Here is a 23,187-nt window from a genome sequence, read left to right on the forward strand (position 1 = left end):
GGAACTTGTCTATAGAGTAGCTTTGGAGATAATGATGACATGTGTTAACCCACTACTAGTGGGACTGTACATTTTTCTAAACTATATGTTATAGGACAACTGGTAAGCCAATTTCTAAAACAAAACAAAACAAAACAAAACAAGCCTGGTAAACAGATTGGGAAAAAAAGCAAACAAAATATTAAAAAGTAAATTTTCTGGAGTATTTATTGGAGACATCTTGGAAGAGACTGAACATTTATATATCCTCAGTAGGATTTGGTGAAACAAAACAAGCGGAAGAAAATTATTCTGGATAATACATCCAGAGTATAGGTTATGCCTGTACTCTGAAAACATCCCTGTATTAGTCTGTTTTCATGCTACTGATAAAGACATACCCAAGACTGAGAAGAAAAAGAGGTTTAATTGGACCTACATTTCCACATGGCTGGGGAGGTCTCAGAATCATGGCAGGAAGCAAAAGACACTTCTTACATGGTGGTGGCAAGAGAAAAATGAGGAAGAAACAAAAGTGGAAACCCCTGATAAACCCATCAGATCTCGTGAGACTTATTCACTATCACAGGAATACATGGGAATGATCTGGCCCCCATGATTCTATTACCTCCCATGGGTCCCTCCCACAAAATGTGGGAATTCTGGAAGATATAATTCAAGTTAAGATTTGGGTAGAGGCACAGCCAAACCATATCAATCCCTTTGATACCAAATGAAATAGTAGGTTTTCTAAGACTCAATATACCATTTCCTTTTAGCATGCCACCCCACAGTTTTCTGGGAAAGGTCTAATTATCTTCCGAGTTGGAAGTATCCTAGCTGCTTGCAAAATAGGTAATATGAATAAACTATTAAAATATCAACTTGCAAAGAGTATGGAGAACTGAAATTTTTTTCACTTAAGTAGCTCAATGCAATTAACTAGATCCTCAAACCAAGGCTTCAAGGTTCTTAAATTGGCAATAGTGAGTCATGAGTGACCTCATTGTTGTAAATACTTATAAAAACTTCTAAATTATTCTCTGAAGTAATAAGCTGAAAACATAACAAGCCAAAAGGTTATGCCAGAGCACCCCAACTGGTTAATTATAATATCTGAATTATGTATTAAAAGAATATGGGTCCTAGAGATTTCCACACTCTTCCTTCTCTGCTTTGGAAGACATCCACACATGCTCATAGCCAAGTATGCCTTACCTTGTATTAAGTCATCGGAAAAGATTTCCTCCTTGTGAAAGGTAAAGACAGCTGGACTAGATTGGCAGGTGGAAAATTTGTTGTTAGAATGATACTCCATGAAATATGTTTTCCTATTAGCTTCTTCCTAATCAACTCAAACCAAGCTTTTTCAGAGAGAAATGCTGGAAGTTAATGAAATTAGTCACAACTATTAGTATCTATGAGGCAATACTGACTGTTAACAAGGATGGTGTAGATATAGAGCCACAGCTACGATTGAGAAATATTGTGTTAGTATTATCTCAAGTCTCTAGCTATTTCTGCCGTGTGGTGTTCTCCATTTGGGAAATTCATGAGTTCTTCACTTTTTGAGCCAACATGTTTTAGCTAGATGACTCCGGAGAAGACATAAAAAAAATGCATTTTGTGGATGAATTGTTGAACAATATGAACCCTAACCTCATGTTCAACCCTGCTATTCTGTTACTTAAATAGCTTTGTAAACTTAGCCACACGGGTTTGTTATATTTAAATACTTGCAGGGATGTTCTATAAATTAACAATAAAGTTCATTTTATTCAGTCCAAAGGACAGAGCTGAATTAATAAAACTCTAGGAATTATATTTTTATAATTTTATATATGACTCAAGAGTACACTATAAATGAAATAGCTTCTCTTAAATGGTGTTAGTGCCCAATCGTTCCCCTCAATATAACAATATGCCAGTCCACCATAGTGTTTGGAGTATTGATGTTTAGGCCTTCATTGTTTTCATTATTTTAGTTGTATTTGTTTATCCTAGTCTCTGCCCTTTCCACTCTGTATTAGTCCGTTCTTACACAGCTATAAAGATACTACCTGAGATTGGGTAATTTATAAAGGAAAGAGGTTTCATTGACTCACACTTCTACAGGGTTGGGAAGGCCTCTGGAAACTTACAATTATGGCAAAAGGGGAAGGGGAAGCAAGCTTGGACCTTCTCACATGGAGGCAGGAGAGTAAGAAGTGCGAGGAGTGAAGGGGGAAGAGTCCCTTGTAACACCACCAGATCTTGTGAGAACTCTCACTTTCATGAGAACAGCCCCCATGATCCCATCATCTCCCACCAGGTCCACCCCTCGATGATGTGGGGATTATGCAGATTACAATTAGAGATGAGATTTGGGTGGGAACACAGACCAAACCATATCATTCTGCCCCTGGCTTCTCCCAAATCTCATGTCCTCACATTTCAAAGCACAATCATGCCTTTTCAAGACTCCACCAGTCTTAACTCATTCCAGCATTAACCCAAAAGTCCAAGTCCAAAATCTCGTCTGAGACAAGGCAAGTCCCTTCTGCCTATGAGCCAGTAAAGTAAAAAATCAAGTTAGTGATTTTCCAAGACACAATGGGGGTACAGGCATTGGACAAATATACCCATTCCAAATGGGATAAATTGGCAGTCTTACTGCCCACATCTTACTGTCTTCTGAGCCCTCCAAGTCTCTAGGAAGTTCCAAACTTTCCCACATTTTCCTATATTCTTCTGAGCCCTCAATACTGTTCCAACCTATGCCTGTTACCCAGTTCCAAAGTCGCTTCCACATTTTAGGGGAATATGTGGCCTATAGGCCCCATGCAAGTCCAAAATTCAGCAGGGCAGTCATTAAATCTTAAAGCTCCAAAATGATCTTCTTTGACTCCATGTATCACATCCAGGTCATGCTGGTGCAAGAGGTGGGTTCCCATAGTCTTGGGCAGCTCTGTCCCTGTGGCTTTGCAGGAGACAGACTCCCTCCTGGTTGCTTTCACAGGCTGGTGTTGAGTGTCTGGGGCTTTTCCAGGCCCACAGTGCAAGCTGTTGGTGAATCTAACTTTTTTTCTAGAGGATGGTGGCCTTTTCTTCACAGCTCCACTCGGCAGTGCCCCAGTGGGGACTCTGTGTGGGGGCTCCAACCCCACATTTCCCTTCCACCCCGCCCTAGCAGAGGTTGTGCATGAGTGACCCACCCCTGCAGGGCCCCTCTTCCTGGACATCCAGGCATTTCCATATATCCTTTGAAATCTAGGCAGAGGTTCCCAAACCTCAATTCTTGACTTCTGTGAACCCGCAATCTCAACGCCACATGGAAGCTTCCAAGGCTTGGGGCTTGCACCCTCTGAAGCCACTGCCTGAGCTGCACCTTGGCGCCTTTTAGCTGTGGCTGGGCGGCTGGAACGCAGGACACCAAATCCATAGGTTGCACATAGCAGGGGGCCCTGGGCCAGGCCTAGAAATTATTTTTCCCTTCTAGGCCTCTGGACCTGTGATGGGAGGGGCTGCCATGAAAGTCTCTGACATGCCCTGAAGAGATTTTCCCCATTGTCTTGGTGATTAACACTGGGTTCCTCGTTACTTATGCAAATTTCTGCAGCCTGCTTGAATTTCTCCTCAGAAAATGGGTTATTCTTTTCTATTGCATTGTCAGGTTGCAAATTTTTAAAACTTTCAGGCTCTGCTTTCTCTTGAACTCCTTGCTGCTTAGAAATTTTTTCCACCAGATACCCCAAATCATCTCTCTCAAGTTCAAAGTTGCACATATCTCTAGGGCTGGGGCAAAAAGCTGCCAGTGTCTTTGCTAAAGCATAGCAAAAGTCAGCTTTGCTCAAGTTTCCAACAAGTTCCTCATCTCCATCTGACACATTACCCTAGACTTTATTGCCCATAACACTATCAGCATTTTAGTCAAAGCCACTCAACAAGTCTCTAGGAAGTTCCAAACTTCCTCATATCTTCCTGTCTTCTGAGCCCTCCAAGTCTCTAGGAAGTTCCAAACTTTCCCACATTTTCCTATATTCTTCTGAGCCCTCCAAACTGTTCCATCCTCTGCCTGTTACCCAGTCCCAAAGCCACTTCCACATTTTTGGGTATCTTTACAGCAACATCCCATTCTACTGGTACAAATTTACTGTATTAGTCTGTTTTCACACTGCTAATAAAGACATACCGGAGACTGGATAATTTATAAAGGAAAGAGGTTTAATGAACTCACAGTTCTAGATGGCTGGAGAGGCCTCACAATCATGGTGGAAAGCAAAAGAGAAGCAAAGGCATATCTTACATAGCAACAGGCAAGAGAAAGGGTGGGCAGGGAAACTCTCCTTTATAAAACCATCAGATCTTGTGAGACTTATTCACTATCACGAGAACAGCATGGGACAGACCCACCCCCATGATTTAGTTACCTCTCACCAGGTCCTCCCATGACATTTGGGAATTACGGCAGCTACAATTCAAGATGAGATTTGGGTGGGGACACAACCAAACCATATCAGAATACACACACAGATGAAATTAGTGAAAAAAAAAAAAAGGAAAGGGGTGATTATCACAAAAATCTTAATTTTCATTGCTATATAGCATTTCGTTGTATAAACATAACACAATATATTTATTTTGCCTTGATGAACATTTGAATTGTTTCCATTTGGATATTATTACAAATAAAACTGCTGTGAATTTCTCTGTACAAGACTTCGTTTGCATAGCTAATAAGTTTTGTCTTTAGTAAACATCTTTGTTCATTTGGGCTGCTATAACAAAATACCATAACCTAGGTGGCTTATAAACAACAGAAATTCATTTATCACAGTTCTGAAGCCTGCGAAGTCCAATTTCAATGTGCCAGCAGATTTGGTGTCTGGAGAGGGTCCATGGTGGCGTGGTTTGTAGATGCTTGTTTTCTTGCTATAACTTCACATGGTGGAATGGGTGAGGGGGTTCTCTAAGGTTTCTTTTATAAGGGAGTGCCCTTATAAAATCCCTTTCATGAGGACTCTGCCCTCATGACCTAATCACCCCCCAAAGGTTGCACCTCCAAATGCCATCAGGGATTGGGTTTAACATACGACTTTTGAGGGAACACATCTTCAGTCTACAGTGGCAAATAATGCCAAATTGGTGTTAAAAGTAATCATGCCAATTTGTATTCCTACTGAGGAAGATGAAAATTCTAGTTGCTCTCTATCTTTCCCAATGTGAGATATTGATAATATGCTTTGTTTTGTTTTATTATAATGATTTTACTGTATATGGGGGATGTTGTAGTAATACCTCATTGTTTTAATTTATATTGTTTTAATTTTTAATGAGATGGCAGACCTTTACATGTTTTTGTTGGACATTTTGCTAATCAATTTTTTGAAGTATTTAAGTTCTTCATCATTTTCCATTTGGATATTGTTTTTCTTTTTGATACATATGGGTTTTTATTTATAGAATATCAGTCAGTGTGATTATTGTCTTTTACTTTATGACGTGACTTTTCCCTCATTTAATGGTGTTTTCTGAAGAACAGAACTTCTTAATTCTAATTAGCGTATAATGAACTTTTCATTTATGACTAGTGCTTTTGTGTATTGAGAAAATTTTCTAGATCCTAAGTTTCATATTGTACTATAGAAGTCACAGGTTTGGCCGGGCGCGGTGGCTCACGCCTGTAATCCCAGCACTTTGGGAGGCCGAGGCGGGTGGATCATGAGGTCAGGAAATCGAGACCATCCTGGCTAACAAGGTGAAACCCCGTCTCTACTAAAAATACAAAAAATTAGCTGGGCGCGGTGGCGGGCGCCTGTAGTCCCAGCTACTGGGGAGGCTGAGGCAGGAGAATGGCGTGAACCCGGGAAGCGGAGCTTGCAGTGAGCCGAGATTGCGCCACTGCAGTCCGCAGTCCGGCCTGGGCGACAGAGCGAGACTCCGTCCCAAAAAAAAAAAAAAAAAAAGAAGTCACAGGTTTACAATTCACTTGAAATTTATTTTTGCAAATAAAGTGACGTTACAGTCAATTTTCATTTTTTTTTCATGTAGATAGCTGATTGAGTAACACCACTTCCTAAAGAGTCAGTTCTTTTCTAATGGTCTGCAGTACTAGCATTATCATAAATCAGGTGTGGGTCTGAAGTCAGACGCTCTATTATGTTCAATTTATCTATTAATCTATATACCTTTGCCATCATTACACTCTTTTAAAAGGACTGTAGTCTTAATATCTGATAAAGTAGGTCTTGCCATATTATTCTTCTTAAGATTACCTTAGCTATTGTTTTGCATTTCCAAGTGAATTTCAGAATTGGCTTAAAAATTTCTACAAAATAACCTCTGGGGATTTTTATTAGAATTGTGTTTGATGCATAAATCAATTTGGTAGAATTGATGTCCTTATAATGTTGGATCTACCAAATCTTGAACATAGTGCATGCCTATACTTATTTAAGTATTCTGTAATTTCTTTCAATAATATTTTATATTTTTATATAAAGGGATATTGAGCATATTTTGTTATAATCATGTGCTGCTTAAGGTTTAGGTCAATGATTGACCACATATACAACAGTGGTCTCTTAAGATTATAATACTGTATTTTTACTGTACATTTTCTATGTTTGATACACAAATATTTACCATTGTGTTACAGTTGCCTACAGTATTCAGTATAGTAACATGCTGTACAGGTTTGCAGCCTTGGAGGAGAAATAGCCACTACCATAAGGCCTAGGTGTGTAGCAGGCTGTACCATCTCGGTCTGTATAAGTATACTCTGTGATGTTTGCACAATGACAAAATTGCCTGATGCATTTCTCAGAACATAACCTCATCATCAAACAACACATGACTACATATGTATTCTTGTGTTTTCCAGTGCTATGGCATTATATTATCCAAAATAGGCCTCTTAAAATTAATGGAACAATAATATTGAAAATAAATAGACAGAAAAAAAATACAGCAAATAAATGTGAGCCAAAAAAAGGCTTGGAGACCAATTTGAATATGTGAAAACAAGAATTTAAGGTAATTTTCATTAAAAACCAAGAATGACATTACATATTGGTAAAATTCACTATGGGAGAGTAAGGAATACTAAACATAAATACATATGGACCTTCCCATATAATCCCTAAATATATTAAAACATAGCTACCAGAAGCAAAATGGGAAAAAACTGAAACAAAAATTTTAGATGGAGTTTCAACATACCCTGTTCAGAAACTGATGGAACACATGGGAAAAACATAAGTGGTGAATTAAGTACATAAACAAATATATACATTTCAAGCTACTATATGTAGAATTCTATACCTAACAGATAGAAAGGACACTTTCTTTTCCCCCAAAGTGCATATGTAATATTTATAAAAATAGATCATGGATTAGACCTTACAAGCAGTATAAGGAATTACAAATGTCCAATGCATACAGAATATCTTCTCCAATGACAATGCAGTAACATTAAAATGTAGTAACACAAGGAGGATCGTAAAAAATCCATGAGTTTATACTTCAACTTCTGAGCGAATCGTAGTAACAAAGACTGAATTTACTGTCTCACCTGAAGTAACTAAAGAAATGAGCAAGGTATTAAAAAAAATGTTCTCAAAACACTGAACATCAGGTGACAAAGAATAGTGATCTCTTAGAGATGGAAAACAAATGAGGTGAGTGTTAGGATTGTCCCAGCTTCCTACCTGGACCAAGTTTCCAGGAGGTATCACCAAATGTGGTCCAGGAGTCTCCTTGGGTTGAGGAGATGAATACAGGATTCCAAAGATGCTAAGGAAGTTAGAGAAATAGTGATAAAAATGTTCCAAATTTGATATAAACTATAAACCCACAGATCCAAGAAGCTCATGAATCCCCAAGCACAAGAAACATAAAAGAAGCTACAGCAAGGTGCATAAAAATCAATTTGCTTAAAATCGGTGATAAAGAGAATATCTTACAAGTAGCCAGAGGAGGAAAAGATACATTATGTATAGATTAACAAACAAAAAGATAGCATATTTCTCATGGGAAACAATGTAAGCCAGAGAGTGGAACACCTTTAAAGTACTAAAAATAAAAACAAAAGAAAACAGAAACCAAAAACCCCTGTTAATTCAGAATTCTTTAGTGTATGGAATTATCTTTCCATAATTAAGGTAAGATAAAGACATTTTCAGATGTATAAAAGCTGAAAGAACTCATCACCAGCAGACCTACATTATAAGAAATGATAAAGGAAGAAAAATGACCTTGAGTAGTAATATGGAACTATAAAAAAAAATTTAAAAATGGTAATTCTGTAGTTAAATATAAAGAAGCCTTCCTTATTTAAGTCGCTTTAAAAGATAATTGAATGTTTAAAGAAAGTAACCATGTATTGTGATCTTTCTCACATATGTAGAAAAAATATATGACAACAATAGCATAAAAGTAGGGGCTAGAAATGGGAACATATAGTTGTAAGTTTCTTATACTAGATATGAAGTATGTTGCTTGAAGGTAGAATCTGATAAGTTAAAAATGTATATCAGAAACCCTAAATATAAGAGAAAGAGCTGTAGCTAGTAAACAAACCAAAGGGGAATAATAAAAATATATTTAATTAATACAAAGCAATGCAGAAAAGGAGGATAAAAGAGAACTAAAAAAATTAGAAAAATAGAAAATAAACAGCAAGATGATAGGTTTAAACTCAACCATCTATATCACATTAAATGTAAATAGTTGAAATGCCCCAGTGAAAAGGTAGAGATTGTCAGGTTGGATAAGAAAGCAATATCTCACTACAGTTGACCCCTGAACATCACGGCTTTGAACTTCATGGATTCACTTATACACAGATTTTCCTTTGCCTCTGCCACCCCTGAAACAGCAAGATTAACCCCTCCTCCTCCTCAGCATACTCAACATGAAGACAAGGATGAAGATCTCTATGCTGATACACTTTCACTTAATGAATAGTAAATATTTTTTCTTATGATTTTCTGAATAACATTTTCTTTTCTCTATCTTTCTTTATTGTAAAAATATAGTATACCATATATACAACACACAAAATATGTGTTAATCAACTTTTTATGTTATCAGTAAGGTTTTGATCAACAGTAGGCTGTTAGTAGTTAAGTTTTAGGGGAGTCAAAAGTTATACACAAATTTTTGACTGCGCAGAGATTGGCACCCTTAATACCCACGTTGTTCAAGGGTCAATTGTACATGCTGTCAAGAAATCCACTTTAAATGTAAAGACACAGTAAGTTAAAGGTGAAAGCATGGGAAAGGTAACCACATTAACACTAATCAAAAGAAAGCTGGAGTGGCTATTTCAATATCTAATAAAGTAGATTTTTATGACAAAATTATTACCTTAGATGAAGGAGATCATTGCATAATGATAAAGGGTAGATTTCTCAGAGAACATAATCCTAATTTTTTTTTTTTGCCAAGTAACTGTTATAAAATACATGAAGCAAAACTAATGAGAAATGGTAAAAAAAAAATAACAGTTTTACTTGGATATTTCAACATCCCCTCTCAATAACTGATAGTACAAGCAAGCACCAAATAAGAAAGACTGTCTGTCTATAGAAAACTTAAAAAACGCTATCAACCAACTTGACTTAAGTGACAGTCACAGAACAATTTTCCCCCAAAAAGAATACCCAAATTTTTCCTTAGACATAGAGCATTAACCACTATAGACCATACTCTAGCCTGATTGTCAACAAACTATGGCCCACATGTCGAATCTGCCTCTTTTTTTTTTTTTTTTTGTAAATGAAGTTTTATGAGAATACAACCATGCCTATTGGTTATGTACTATCTATAGCCACCATGGCAGAGTTGAATATTTGTGACAGAGGTCATACAGTGAATTATGTGGTGTCTAACCCTTTACTGAGAAAATTTGTTGACCTCTGCTTTAGGCCAGAGAACAAGTCTCAACATCAAAAGCACAATCCGTAAGAAAAAATTGATAAATGGGACTTCATCAAAATAGGCTTTTTACATGACACTATTAGGATAATGAGAAGACAAGCCACAGACTGGGAGAAAGTCCTGGCAAACAACGTGTTTGATAAAGGACTTATAGCCATGAGTTGTGAAAGGCACTCAAACTCAATAATAAAAACAGTCAACCATAAAATGGGTAAAAGATGGATGAATGACAAGAACATGAAAAAATGATGAACATCACAATTTATTAGGGAAATGCAAAATAAAAGCATTAGCATATCATTGCAATCTCTTAGAATAACTAAAATTAAAGACTGACCATATCAAATATTGGCAAGGATGTGTAATAACTGGAATAATCATAGGTTGCTGACAGAAATAAAACACAGTACAAAGACTTTGAAAAATAATTTGGCTGTTTCTTTAAAAAGGTAAACATATAACCACCATTCAACCCATTTGATATGGTTTGGATCTGTGTCCCCACCCAAATCTCATGTCGAATTGTAATCCCCAGTGTTGGAGGTGAGGCCTGGTGGGAGGGTGATTGGATCATGGGGGTGGTTTCACATGAATGGTCTAGCACCATCACCTTGGTGATGTTCTAACGATAGTGAGTGAGTTCTCACTAAATCTGGTTGTTTTAAAGCATGTGGCACCTCTCTTCTCTCTCTCTTCCTCCTGTTCTGGCCACCTAAGACATGCCTGTTTCTCCTTCACCCCCCTCTATCCTTGTAAGTTTTCTAAGGCCTCTCCAGAAACCAAGCAGATTTCAGCATCATGCTTCCTAGACAGCCTGCAGAATTGTGAGTCAAGTAAACCTCTTTTCTATATAAATCACGCAGTCTCAGGTATTTCTTCATAGCAATGCAAGAAAGAAATAATATACCAGTCTTTAATGCTATTGATATATGCAACAAAAATAAAAAAGAATGTCTAAACAAAGATGGGCATGCAAATATCCACAGAAGCTTTATTTATAATTTCACCAAACTGAAAACAACTGAAATATGTATCAAGAGGTGAATAGATAGATAAATTATGCTATATCCATGCACTGGAATATTACTCAGCAATAAGAGTGAATGACTGATACATGCAAGTGCATGGATAAATCTTAAATCTCAAAATAATTATGCCTAATGAAAGAATACCATCAAAACAAGATTACACACTGTATGATTCCACATATGTAAAATTTTAGAAAACATAAACTCACATATGGTGATTAACACAGACCATTGGTTGTGTAGAGTTGGTGGAAGTGTGGAAAGGGAGGAAGGAATTACAAAGGGTACAAGAAGATGTTTGAATTGATAGATATGCTTATCATCTTCTTTGAAAGAAAAAATACAGAGTTTAACAATGAAGTCATTACATATCAGCCCCAGCCAAACCAATCACCAAAGTTGTCCTGAATATACGTGGTGGTTATTTGCGTATATACCTCTGTATAATGCTAATTCTTTTACCTGGAATGATGACTGTCTGCACCCCAATCATTGCACATAAAAAAGTATCATACTTTTACAAAATTGACACTGAATACTGAATTTGTTATTTTTAGCTTATTTAAAACTCCACAATGATTTTTTTCTCTTTCAGCACATCAAATGTGACTTTTACTTCATTATTAATATTATGATCCACTTTTAAACTCTAAGGTGTTTGAGGGCTTACAAGACTATGTTTTCTGAGGTTTTGTATCCTCACAATCTCTAGCACAACAAAAGTGTCCATTAATATTTACTGAATAAATGGAGGAATTAATGTATAAATGAAAACTTCAAGGTGGATACTATGTGAGTGCCTGGTCTAAATTTCATGCAATGTCATAATTGCAATGGGAAATCTAACTAAATACCCTTTCAGATACTTTTTATCATCTCTAAAATACTAAATTTGTATGAGAATTTTGAATTTCTTCTTTTATAATATATTATTCATTTTAATGAAAATTATCTCTAAAGTCAATTTCTATTATTAACATTCTATTATCTTGTTATTCTATTGACAGTTAAAATATATTCCTCTAGTGAGTTCCCCATTGGTCCTTATACAGAGTATCCCAAGAAACACTTGGGGAAGGAGGAGTGTTCATGAAAATAAAGTGATGCATGGAATAGTTTTTTTAATAAAAAGCATTTAAAAATATATATGTATAAAAATATTAAAAACGTTTGTATTATTGTTTGTTTTACTGTGCAATAGTGTGCCTTTCAAGAAATGAGGTGCTATCATGAAGAATGTCAAGATGTTGCAAGATTGATCACCTGATGCATGAGTAAATGACATTCAGTTTGTGCATTGATGCATAGGCAGCATTTACAAACTAACTATCATATTGATGTATGTGGTCTATTTTGTCTTTGCTGGTCTATCTTATATATCTTGTCTTTTTTTGAACACATATTGTGACACTTTATTATCTTGTTTATTCTTGTTTTTAATAAAATATTTTCTCTCTCTAATTTGGATTTTTTCTATCACAAAATAAAAATACACATAAATCAAATTGTTATGACTTCTCACTGTAATTAAGTAATATGTGATGCTGTTTCTTGCCGTCTACTTTCATTCATTTGCACATTATATCTTATGATCTTTTGTTGGTGTTACATCAATACATTTTAATTTTTAATCAATTCAGTGTTCAAAAGTTTGGGAAATGCTGACTTAGTCAAATAAGTATTTGTGTGACTATTTGATTAATGTTTCCATCTCTCTCAAGAAAATAAGTTTCTAAACAGGTGACGCCTATTTTTTCTCACTGTTATATATCTAGTACCTAGCTCAGTTTCTAACACATGCAAGTACGGAAATAAAACTGTATATTGATAGCCATACAATCAGGTAAGTTAGCAGGGATTCCCACTGTGCATGAAGCCTTGCGAGGGATTAGGAAACAAGTCCTTCTGCTTTCACTGGCATGTTATTACCACTAGGCCTGGGCTGTTCCAATTTCAGCCAGCCATTTATCTGTCTATTCTATATGGAATTACCTACTGCCACTAATTGAATATGTTTTCTCTTTTTCTGCCTTGGTCTTCATGGCAAATCTTTCTTTCCTGGAAAGGAAATGTTTGATTCACCTGGTTGTGTAAAAACTGCTTTTAGTGACTTGTGGAATTTAAGCTTACTATTAATGTAGCCTGTTCCTATATTTTAAAATGTCATATTATCTTTCTAGACTATTTAAACTTGTATTTAAATTGAACATGTCCTTAAGCATTGTCATACAGAAGTTATTCTGCAACTTATGAGTATAGATGAATGAGATTTGAGCCCATATACATTGGTACTTTTAGATTTTAAACTGCTTCGTTTGTCATTTTATTGGTGACAACTTCTGCCATATTCTATTCATTAGTAGTGAGTCACTCAGTTCAGTCCCCATTCAAGGGGAAGGGAATTTGTCTCTATCTTTTGAAGGATGTAGTGTAAAAGAACTTGCGGACTTAGGTATTTTAAAGCCACCACATAGAGACACTCACAAAAATCAGTATTGTTAAATATGATACTCCATTTCTAAAACAATTACAGGATACTATAGGAATGAAACAGTCATAAAACAAGAAAGAAAGCTCCTAAAAATTAAGAGAAAAATTAATAATATGATTGCCGAAATACACACAAGGAAATCTAATAGAAAGGGTAAAACATAAAATTGGTAAAGTTGCCAGAATTTATTATAAAAATCAATAAAGATAATTTTGGAAAGCAAGAAATATGGATATAGATCATCAATAATGAAGATCCAACATTCACCCAATAGAAATTGAAAGATAGAAAAAGAGACGATTAGCAGTTATTGACAAAGAAGAAGGAGGTAGAATAGAAGAAGTAGAAGAGGAGGAAGAAGGAAAAAGGAATGAAAAGAGAGAAAAGAAGAAAAAGACAAGAAAATTTTTTTCCCAGATCCAATAAGTTGAGTTTTCATCAGCAACCCAAAGTGCTAGAAGATAATATGACAAATGGGTTCTAAAATTTGAATTAAAATGATCAAACAAAAATACCATTGTGAGAAAAACTTCCTATCGAATGGGAAACAAATATTTTTTAAGATGTGTGAGGGCAAAAAACTTCTATCTTTCACAAGAGCAGGGTTGGGGAATAAACATTGCATATTGGAACAGAAGAATTGATGACTCTGATCAAAAGTTTCCAGAAGAAAAATAGGAGAAATTATACAAATGTCAACATAAAAAGGCAACTGAGACTTCCCCTTTTACTAATGCAGACTAGATAGCTTAGACCATCCCTCCCACTCAAAATGATCTAAAAAATCTGGGAGAAAAATCTGTCTGAAGCATTGAGATTTAACAAGGCAGCAAACAAGTATTAAGCCAAAAATCTTTAATAAGAAAACTTAGAGGGAGTTTTTAACCTTAGGGACCTCATGGATTCGGAAAACATAGCGGGGCAGAGCTGTTAGTAGACTCAAATGACTTGGGAACAGATACAGACGATCTCCGATTTACAATGGTTTGACAACAAATTTTTGACTTTATAATGGTGCAAAAGTGATATGCATTCGGTAGAAACAGTACTTTGAGTTCCTATACAACCATTCTCTTTTTCTCTTTCAGTACAGTATTCAATTAATTACATGAGATATTCAACACTATATTATAAAATAGGCTTTGATTCAAATAATTTTGCTTATTTATATGCTAATGTAAGTGTTCTGAGTATGTGCAAGTTAGGTGGGACTGTGCTATGATGTTTGATAGGTGAGGTGGTATTAAATGCATTTTTGACTTGCAATATTTTAAATTTACAGTGGGTTTATTGGGTTGTAAACCCATCATAAGTTGACAAGCATCTCTATTGGAGTTCACAACCTACAAGCACAGGAGGTTTGGCAAAGCCCTTATGCTTTTGGTTGAGGCTTGGAAGGGTGATATGCTAGGATTAAGGGTAAATTCTAAATAAATAAACCTTTGCATGGACCGATGCCTAGCTTTTAATCAAATAAATCTCTTGTTGGATTATAGTGTTTTGGAATTGCTATTTCCCTAGTTACTTGTCAGAAGAAAATGTTCTGAGGAAAGGTTATATTATTTTAGAATGCAAATATCTCTATGATTTTTATAGGCAATGTTCAATATACAATCAAATATAATCAGAAATGTAAGAACACAATTAAAAACCTGGGAAACAATAGACAATTTAAAAAATACATGGGTTCAGGTTAATGAAATTATCAACTTTAAAATGAGAATGTTTAATATGTTGAAAGAAGTAAAATGTAAGATAAAAATTTCAGGCAAGAACTGAAATATACAAAAATGAATTACAATGACGTTCTAGGACTGAATAATCAACAACAAATTAAACTCAATAAATGTATATTTTAAAGCAGAAGAGATTCAGCTAAGTTTTTCAGTCTGTCCCATTCACTAAATTTCCTTCTTTTGGAACTACAAATACATACATTTTGACTTTTTTTCCACCATAGCCTTATATCTCTTACCCTTCTTTTCTTGTGTGTTTCAATTTTGATACTTTTTTCAGATCTGTCTTCTAGTTTACTCATCCTCTCTTCCACTGTATCTAATATGCTTTAAAATTGTCAATATTCGTGTCTGATGGGAAGTCAATGATGCTGAAAGGAATGAAAAGTAGTGATAATGGTCAATATGAGAGTGAATCGAAATAAATATTTATTGTAGACAATAATAAGATAATGTCTAAGGAAGTCACACACACATTTATAATAAAAAAGACATGAAAACAATACAAAATAGGCAGACATCAGAAGAGTGTTAAATGTTCTAAGGTTCTAACATTAGCCAAGAATAGGTAAAATTGTCAATTCACATTAGGCTTTTGATATATCATGGACACATGTTGTAGTCTCTAGCATAACCACTGAAAGAGCAGTGAAATAATGTATAGCTATTAAAATAATAAAGGGAAATAAAATACTAAAAAATAGTTAACATAGAAAAAACCTAAATTTAATCTAAGTAATTTATTTTAAAAGGAAATAATCTACAAAGTAAGAGAGAAAAGAGAACATGTGAGACAGATAAAAAAACACAATGGTATATTTAAGGCCAAATATTTCATTAACATCAAAAGTAAAATAACTAAATACTCTAATTAAAAGACAACGACTGTTATACCTAATTAAAAGTATAACAACCTAAACTGATACCTTTCCACAACTGTTACACTAGATTAAAAACAATAACAACAACAGCATCAACTGCTAAAAGAGACATAACTCAAGTGTAAAAGCACTCAAAGACTGAAAATAAAAGATGTAAAAACATGTATATTACATCCAACACTAACAAAGCAAAAGTTGGTATAACCATTTATTAACAAGGCAGAATATTTTAAGGAACTAAATTTTCTAGAGATAAATAGAAACATTTTATAGTGATAGAGAATTGTTTTTTTTCTTTTCCTTCTTTTTTAAATGAAACAGTTTTTTTGTTTTTGTTTTTGTTTTCTAATTTGGAAAAAAAGATAGCCAATGTCTAGGCAGACTGAAAAGCTCACGGAAGGACTGACTCTACATGTCAGATACTCAGATAAGTGTTTCATACAAGAAGATTTGAGGCCGGGCGCGGTGGCTCAAGCCTGTAGCCCCAGCACTTTGGGAAGCTGAGGCGGGCAGATCACGAGGTCAGGAGATCGAGACCATCCTATCCTGGCTAACATGGTGAAACCCCGTCTCTACTAAAAATACAAAAAAATTAGCCGGGCGTGGTGGCGGGCGCCTGGAGTCCCAGCTACTCTGTAGGCTGAGGCAGGAGAATGGCGTGAACCTGGGAGGCGGAGCTTGCAGTGAGCTGGGAGGCGGAGCTTGCAGTGAGCAGAGATGGCGCCACTGCACGTGAGCCTGCGTGACAGAGTGAGACTCCGTCTCAAAAAAAAAAAAAAAAAGAAAGAAATAAGATTTGAAATTTTCACTACAATTATGCTTCCTGAAGGTATTTTTATATCTGATATTTTGGCACTTTAAGTCTGTTTTCAAGTTGAAATCTAGAATTCTCTTATCTTTAAAAGTTCTGGAGACCACTTTGCTTTGTTACCTCAACAGCATTATCATTCAGGGTGCTTGACATTCCTTATTGCATTGCTGTGATGTTTAGATAGCCTCCTCTGCCACTGAGAGCAGTGCAAGCAAGTTACATCCTCGTGTTTTCTTCTTGTGTTAATTTCAGACCAATTTCTTCCCAGGAAGAAGCTGTACTTTTTTAAATTCTATTTTTAATTGAAATTTGCATTGATGTAATTGTAGATTCACATATAGTTGTAAGAGATAATACAGAGAGATCCCTTGCTTAATTTTTTTCCCATAAGAACATCTTGCAAAATTATAGTATAATATAACAACCAGGAGATATATATGTATGTGTGTGTGTGTGCGCGCGCGCGCGTGTGTGTGTGTGTGTGTGTGTGTGTGTGTGTATATATATAATTATTTTTTTTTTTTTAGATGGAGTCTTACTCTGTTGCCCAGGCTGGAGTTCAGTGGCACGATCTCGGCTCAGTGCAACCTCTGCCACCTGGGTTCAAGCGATTCTCCTGCTTCAGCCTCCTGAGTAGCTGGGATTCCAGGTATGCACCACCACGCCCGGATAGTTTTTGTATTTTTAGTAGAGATGGGGTTTCACCATGTTGTGTTGGCCAGGCTGGTCTTGAACTCCTGACCTCAAGTGATCCATCAGCCTTGGCCTCCCAAAGTGCTGGGATTATAGGCATGAGCCACCATGCCCAGCCACAACCAGGTTGTTGACATTGATACAATCCATTGATCTTATTTCAGATTTCCCATTTTCCTTGTACTCACGTGTTTGTGTGTGTGTGTGTGCACCTGCGTATTTTGTTCTACACAATTTTAACAGCTGTAGGTTCATGTATCGAACACCACAATCATTTTAGTTAGCTTGGATTCCTATATCAAAGACCAGCAACTGGGTAGTTTAAACAACTAATGTATATTTCTCATCGTTCTGAATCCTGGAAGTGCAAAATCAAAGTGCTGATTGATTTGGTGCCTGGTTGTGACTCTCTTCCTTGTGGCCGACGGCCATTTTTTTTGCTGTATATTTATTGGTGGAGAGAGAAAGAGCTCTGGTCTCTTCTTATAAGGGCACTAATCCCATCATGGGGACTCCCCTTTCAAGACCTCATCTAAACTGAACGACTTCCCAAAGGCCCTACCTCCAAATACCATTCTTATTGGAGACAAGGATTTCCACATATTAATTTGGGGGGGATGATATAAACATGAAATCTATAACAACAGCAAAGATTCAAAACTCCTCTATTAACACAAGAATGCTCTTTTATAACCACCCACCTGCCTTCCATCCCTATCTCTAACCTCTGGCAACCACAAATCTATTTTCCATATTCAATTTTATTTTTATTTCAAAAAGTTATATCAATGGAATTATTCACTGTAACATTTGGATATTGGCTTTCTCCCCTCAACATAATTCTCTAGATACTTGTCTATGTTGTTTGTATCAACAGTTGGTTACTTCTAATTTCATGGAACAATATTCCATGGTGTGTATACACCACAGTTTGTTTAACCTTTCTCCCAATGAAGGACATCTGGGCTATTTCTAGTTTTTAGTTACTATGAATGAAGCTCATATGAACAGTTATGTATAGGTTTTTGTGTGAAAATGTTTTCATTTCTCTGGGATAAATGTTCAAGAAAGTAATTGCTGGGCCATATAGTAATTGCATGTTTAATTTCATAAGAAATAGCCAAAATATTTTCTAGAGTGGCTGTATCATTTTATATTCTCATCAGCAAAGTATGAATGATCCTATTTCTCTTCAAATCTGTCAGCATTTGCTGTTTTCATATTTTTGTTTTAGGCATTCTAATGGGTGTACAGTGATATCTCTTCCTGGTTTTAATTTACATTTCCCTGATGGCTAACAGGTAGAACATCTTTTCATGTGTTATTTGCCATCTTTATATCCGCCTCAGTGAAATGTGTCTTCCTGTCTTTTGCGATTTTCTAATTGGAATTTTTAAATTTAGAGTTTTGAGAGTTTTAAAAAATGTATTCTAGGTATTATTCCTTTGTTGGATATTTGGTTTACAAATATTTTCTTTCAGTTTCTCACTTATCTTTTAGGACTTTTCACGAGTTATTGCAGAACAAAAGTTTTAATTTTTGTGAGGTTTAAATGATCGTTTTTTCCTTTTACAGATTGTACTTTCGGTGTCATGACTAAGAACTCTTTGCTGACCCCTGGATCCTGAAGATTTTCTTTTATTTTTTTCCTAAGATTTTATAGTTTTATTTTTTCATTTAAGTTACATTCATTTGAATTAATTTTTATCTGAAAAATACTGTTTTTCTTTCACTGTAGGCTTGTCTCTGTATAAATTCAATTTGAAAATATGGCAATATGTATCTTTGATTTTCAAATGAACAAGCTCATAAATACAAAAATTAAAGGCATAACAAGAAAATAACATGTTTTATGTCCTTTGATACCTTTGTTTTCTGCTTTGGCAGTTGTCAAAAATACTAAGTACCTAGGACTTTCCTTTCTAAAATCTTCAATTTCTTTAAAGTCTATTTCTAAGTTCTATTTTCTTGAGGAAGTGGTCCATGACCACCTCTCCTAATGTTTCTTCTCTAATGTTCCATAGCATTCATTCATTTGTACAGTTAGTTTTACAGGCAGCTGTATTCTAGTATTTTTCTGATTCTTGTAATACATTATATTGTCTTCTTCAGCAGGGCCTTTGCACATACTGTTCCTTGAAATCCTTCCTCTGCACCCTTCAACTGGTTTCCTCTTTCCTATCCTTCAGTTTTTCAGTTCAAATGTTATTTTTATAGCATGAATTAAGTCCCCTAATTTTAATCTTTCATAGAACTGATATTTAGTATAGTTGCTAATTAGGATTTATTTGTTTAAGTATTTGACTTTCCATTAGACTATATCGTCTGTGAGGAAGATGCTATTTGCTTTTGGTCACCCGTGTATTTTTTTTTTTTTTTTTTTTTTTTTTGAGACAGAGTCTCACTCTGTCGCCCAGGCTGGAGTGCAGTGTCGTGATCTGGGCTCACTGAAAGCTCCTCCTCCCAGGTTCATGCCATTCTCCTGCCTCAGCCTCCCGAGTAGCTGGGACTACAGGCGCCCGCCACTACGCTGGGCTAATTTTTTGTATTTTTAGTAGAGACGGGGTTTCACTGTGTTCGCCAGGATGGTCTCGATCTCCTGACCTCGTGATCCACCCACCTTGGCCTCCCAAAGTGCTGGGATTACAGGCATGAGCCACCGCGCCCGGCCGTATGTTTTTTTGTTTTGTTTTGTTTTGTTTTTTTGAGACAGAGTCTCGCTCTGTCGCCCGTATGTTTTATTTACAGTACAATGCCTGGCCAATAATTGAGGCGCAATAAATGCGTCTTGAAAAAAAAAAAGTGAATTTTTGATTTGTAAATTTCAAAAGGCAGGGGCTGTAATTTACAACTTAACTGCATAGAACCTAAATGCCAGAGAGACTTAGTGCTTGATTTCCAGAGAAGAAAGCTGAGTATTTAATTTATCTATACAAGAAAGTGTTTAGGAGAATAGCAATATCTACCCAAATAATTTTTATTGGGAAGAGAGGGAAAGTACAGAAAACACTTCTTGAAACAGTCATGTAATTAGAGTTAAATAGCGATCATAATTTAAACAATCAGAGTAATTACTTAAATTGTTTATTTCCTTTTGAATTGTAGAGTCATAGCTAACAAAACCTCTTACTATGTTTTTTATACAGGAAAATAAAATTCATTAAGAAATGTAGGTATGGGCAGGCAAAGGAGGCTATTAGTGGCCGAATTTGTTCCAGAGCACATTATAAAGACTAAATATAATTGTGCTGGCCTATTTATGAGTTAAAAATATACAGTATCTTGTTTGGCCCATTTTTTGTTTTACACTCTCCTGGGAACCCAGTGGAACTGTAGCTCATTTTTAGCTCCCTCCCTAGCTCCGTATTTTCTATCCACCCAGGCTGGATGGGAGTGAAAGTCACTTTGCTATTGTCAGCTGCATTGGAGCAGCTGAATCTCTCTGTCCCAGAAGTAGGGAAGGTAAAAGCTCCATGCAGAGGACTTTCCATTCTTAGCTAAAGCTAGTTGCTTTGGCCTCAGGGGCTAATCAAGTATTATAAACACTGATTAAATAAGGTAGGTCATTTCCATCACCATTTTCCAGACAGGAAAATGGAGGCACCACACCTGGGAATGACATTTGCAGACTCAGGAAGACAATTTGCGGTTGCTTAATTCCTTTGCTTTGCAAATGCCAGGAGAGAGCACTGGAGAAGTTAGGCATAGTTTGAATACTATTCAAACAGGTCACATTTGGAGGCTGAGGTGTCTCATTAAAACTTCCTGTTACTGCTGTATATCCTTACACTGTATATCCAAGTCCATGACAGAGGCGCTGTACATCTCCTGTCTTAACATCTAATAGTCCTTGCCAGATGGAATGAAAAAGTTGATTATACGCAGCTTTGCCAACGTCTCTTGACAGGAAAGAGCAAAAAAAATCCTCCTGAACAAATGAAATGTCAGTCAAATCTCAAACATATTAAAGCAAGATATGCTATATTATTTTCCTAGATTAGAGATTAACTGGTTTCTAATTAATTCTGAAGATGTTTAATAATTTAGCATGACTAGTTTTAGGATTCAGGAATATCCTTTAATCCAGTTTTGTTGTTGTTGTTTTTATTTTTTCACTCAGGTGCCTACCTCCTTGTAAAGGTATTATCATGCAACTGGAATCTTAGCTTTTCAGAAAGCCACTGCTTTGGGAATTGGAAGAGGCGTAGAGCTCAGGATTTCTTCTTTCTGTCTTAATGAGCTGTAGTCTCTAAAGTGTTAAAACAGGCCAATAATTGAGGGGGAAAAAAAGAGTCTGAGCTATTCACATCTTGACAGTCCCCACTCTCACTCTTGCTCTGAGCTCAGGTTTGCCTCACAGGGATGTTTCAAAGAAATTGGGTTGTGTGGCAGTGTGGGTGGGAGGCAGGGAGGAAAAGGAGGATTTTAGAATTAAGTAAGACTTTTGAAATGGGTTGCAAATTTTCATTGCAGGGAATGTGTCATTAGAAATCATGGAATAGGTGCAATTTCTATCACATTTGCATTTATAGTTTTCAATGGCTTTTCTTGATGGTTGGATGGGGATGGATCTCTCCAATGTCTACCCGTTGACTCATGGGATCTTAAAGGAGAGACACGTTTCTAACTCTTGCTGCGGGGAGAAACTATAAAACTATAGTCCAGAGACCTTCAAATGGCCTCCAGTCTCTTCTTTAGTATAGAATTTTAGAGCTAAATGTTACCTTATGGATTTTTCTAGATGCTTGACACTAAAAATGTAATTGGAGGAGCAGCAACATTGCTGTAACAGCGGAGCTCGCTAGGAATGTAGAATCCCCACCCCAGACATTCCGAATCTGACCCTGCCTTTTTAATAAGATCCTCAAATGACTCATAAGTGCATTAAAGTTTGAGAGGCATTGCTCTAGATGAAACCCCTTATTATATAGATTAGGAAACTGTGGGCCTGATCTGGGGCATTATTAGCTCTCATTAAAACAATCACAAAACAGAGCCTACTCTTCTTCTTTCTCTGGCCATACTGCTCTTCCCCATATGACACTGCCCCTCTTGAACCTTAAATTCAGTGTTAATTGTGTATATGTGATCACTAGTAAAAAAGCAACTGGCCCCCCATTCGCATAAACAGATACTGTGTCTGAGTTTCTGTGATTTCTAATATTATTGCAAAAACAACTAGCACAGTGTCTGTGTATGTACTGGGTGCACAATGGATACTATAATAATATTAGTATTGTTAGTACTGACAGTTATTAGTGTTATGTGCATGGTAAAAGCAAGAGAAAATGGTGAAAGCTTTTCAGGCAAGGTATCTTGTCCTCTTATCCACCCAAGTAGCTTCAAGACCAGACCAGGAAATGATGGAAGGAAGTGGCTATGGTGGGACCTGGGTTTATTTTCACTTAGTTTCCTGCCAGAGGCTAGGAGGTGATCTGCCAGTGACTCAGAGCAGCTCATTACCATGAGGATTATTTTTACCTGCTTCCATGGCACTGATAAAGTAAAAAGATGAGGAGTCATTTAGAGACACCACCAACGTCTTTTGTGCTTTTGGGTAGAACCTCTAGTCTTCTGCTAATTGCAGGTACAGTCACTCTGGATAAATGGAAAACAACTCACTCCTGGCCAGCAATCTGTCTTCTCA

General features: G+C 36.2%; 1 long non-coding RNA gene across 1 annotated transcript in view, besides 2 other annotated features; it reads left to right on the forward strand.

Moving 5' to 3' along the window:
* LINC02712 (long intergenic non-protein coding RNA 2712) overlaps window positions 1-19,384 on the forward strand; it is a 65,964-nt gene extending 46,580 nt beyond the window's left edge. Inside the window, exons 2-3 of the long non-coding RNA NR_120580.1 lie at window positions 17,375-17,496; window positions 19,116-19,384. This is a non-coding gene — a long non-coding RNA (long intergenic non-protein coding RNA 2712). The remainder of the gene's footprint in view (window positions 1-17,374; window positions 17,497-19,115) is intronic.
* Window positions 3,321-3,851: an enhancer, noted in NCBI's record as "H3K4me1 hESC enhancer chr11:127190865-127191395 (GRCh37/hg19 assembly coordinates)". NCBI's record gives its function as "activates a minimal SCP1, AML or CMV promoter by ChIP-STARR-seq in naive H9 embryonic stem cells {active_cell/tissue: H9 hESC(naive)}" and the evidence as "EXISTENCE:reporter gene assay evidence [ECO:0000049][PMID:30033119]".
* Window positions 22,657-22,826: an enhancer, noted in NCBI's record as "experimental_19685 CRE fragment used in MPRA reporter constructs". NCBI's record gives its function as "activates a minimal promoter by MPRAs in K562 erythroleukemia cells, with activity observed for the non-introgressed 11:127210286 variant allele {active_cell/tissue: K562}" and the evidence as "EXISTENCE:reporter gene assay evidence [ECO:0000049][PMID:34662402]".

Source organism: Homo sapiens, chromosome 11 (genome assembly GCF_000001405.40).
Source record: "Homo sapiens chromosome 11, GRCh38.p14 Primary Assembly".
NCBI lineage: Eukaryota > Metazoa > Chordata > Mammalia > Primates > Hominidae > Homo > Homo sapiens.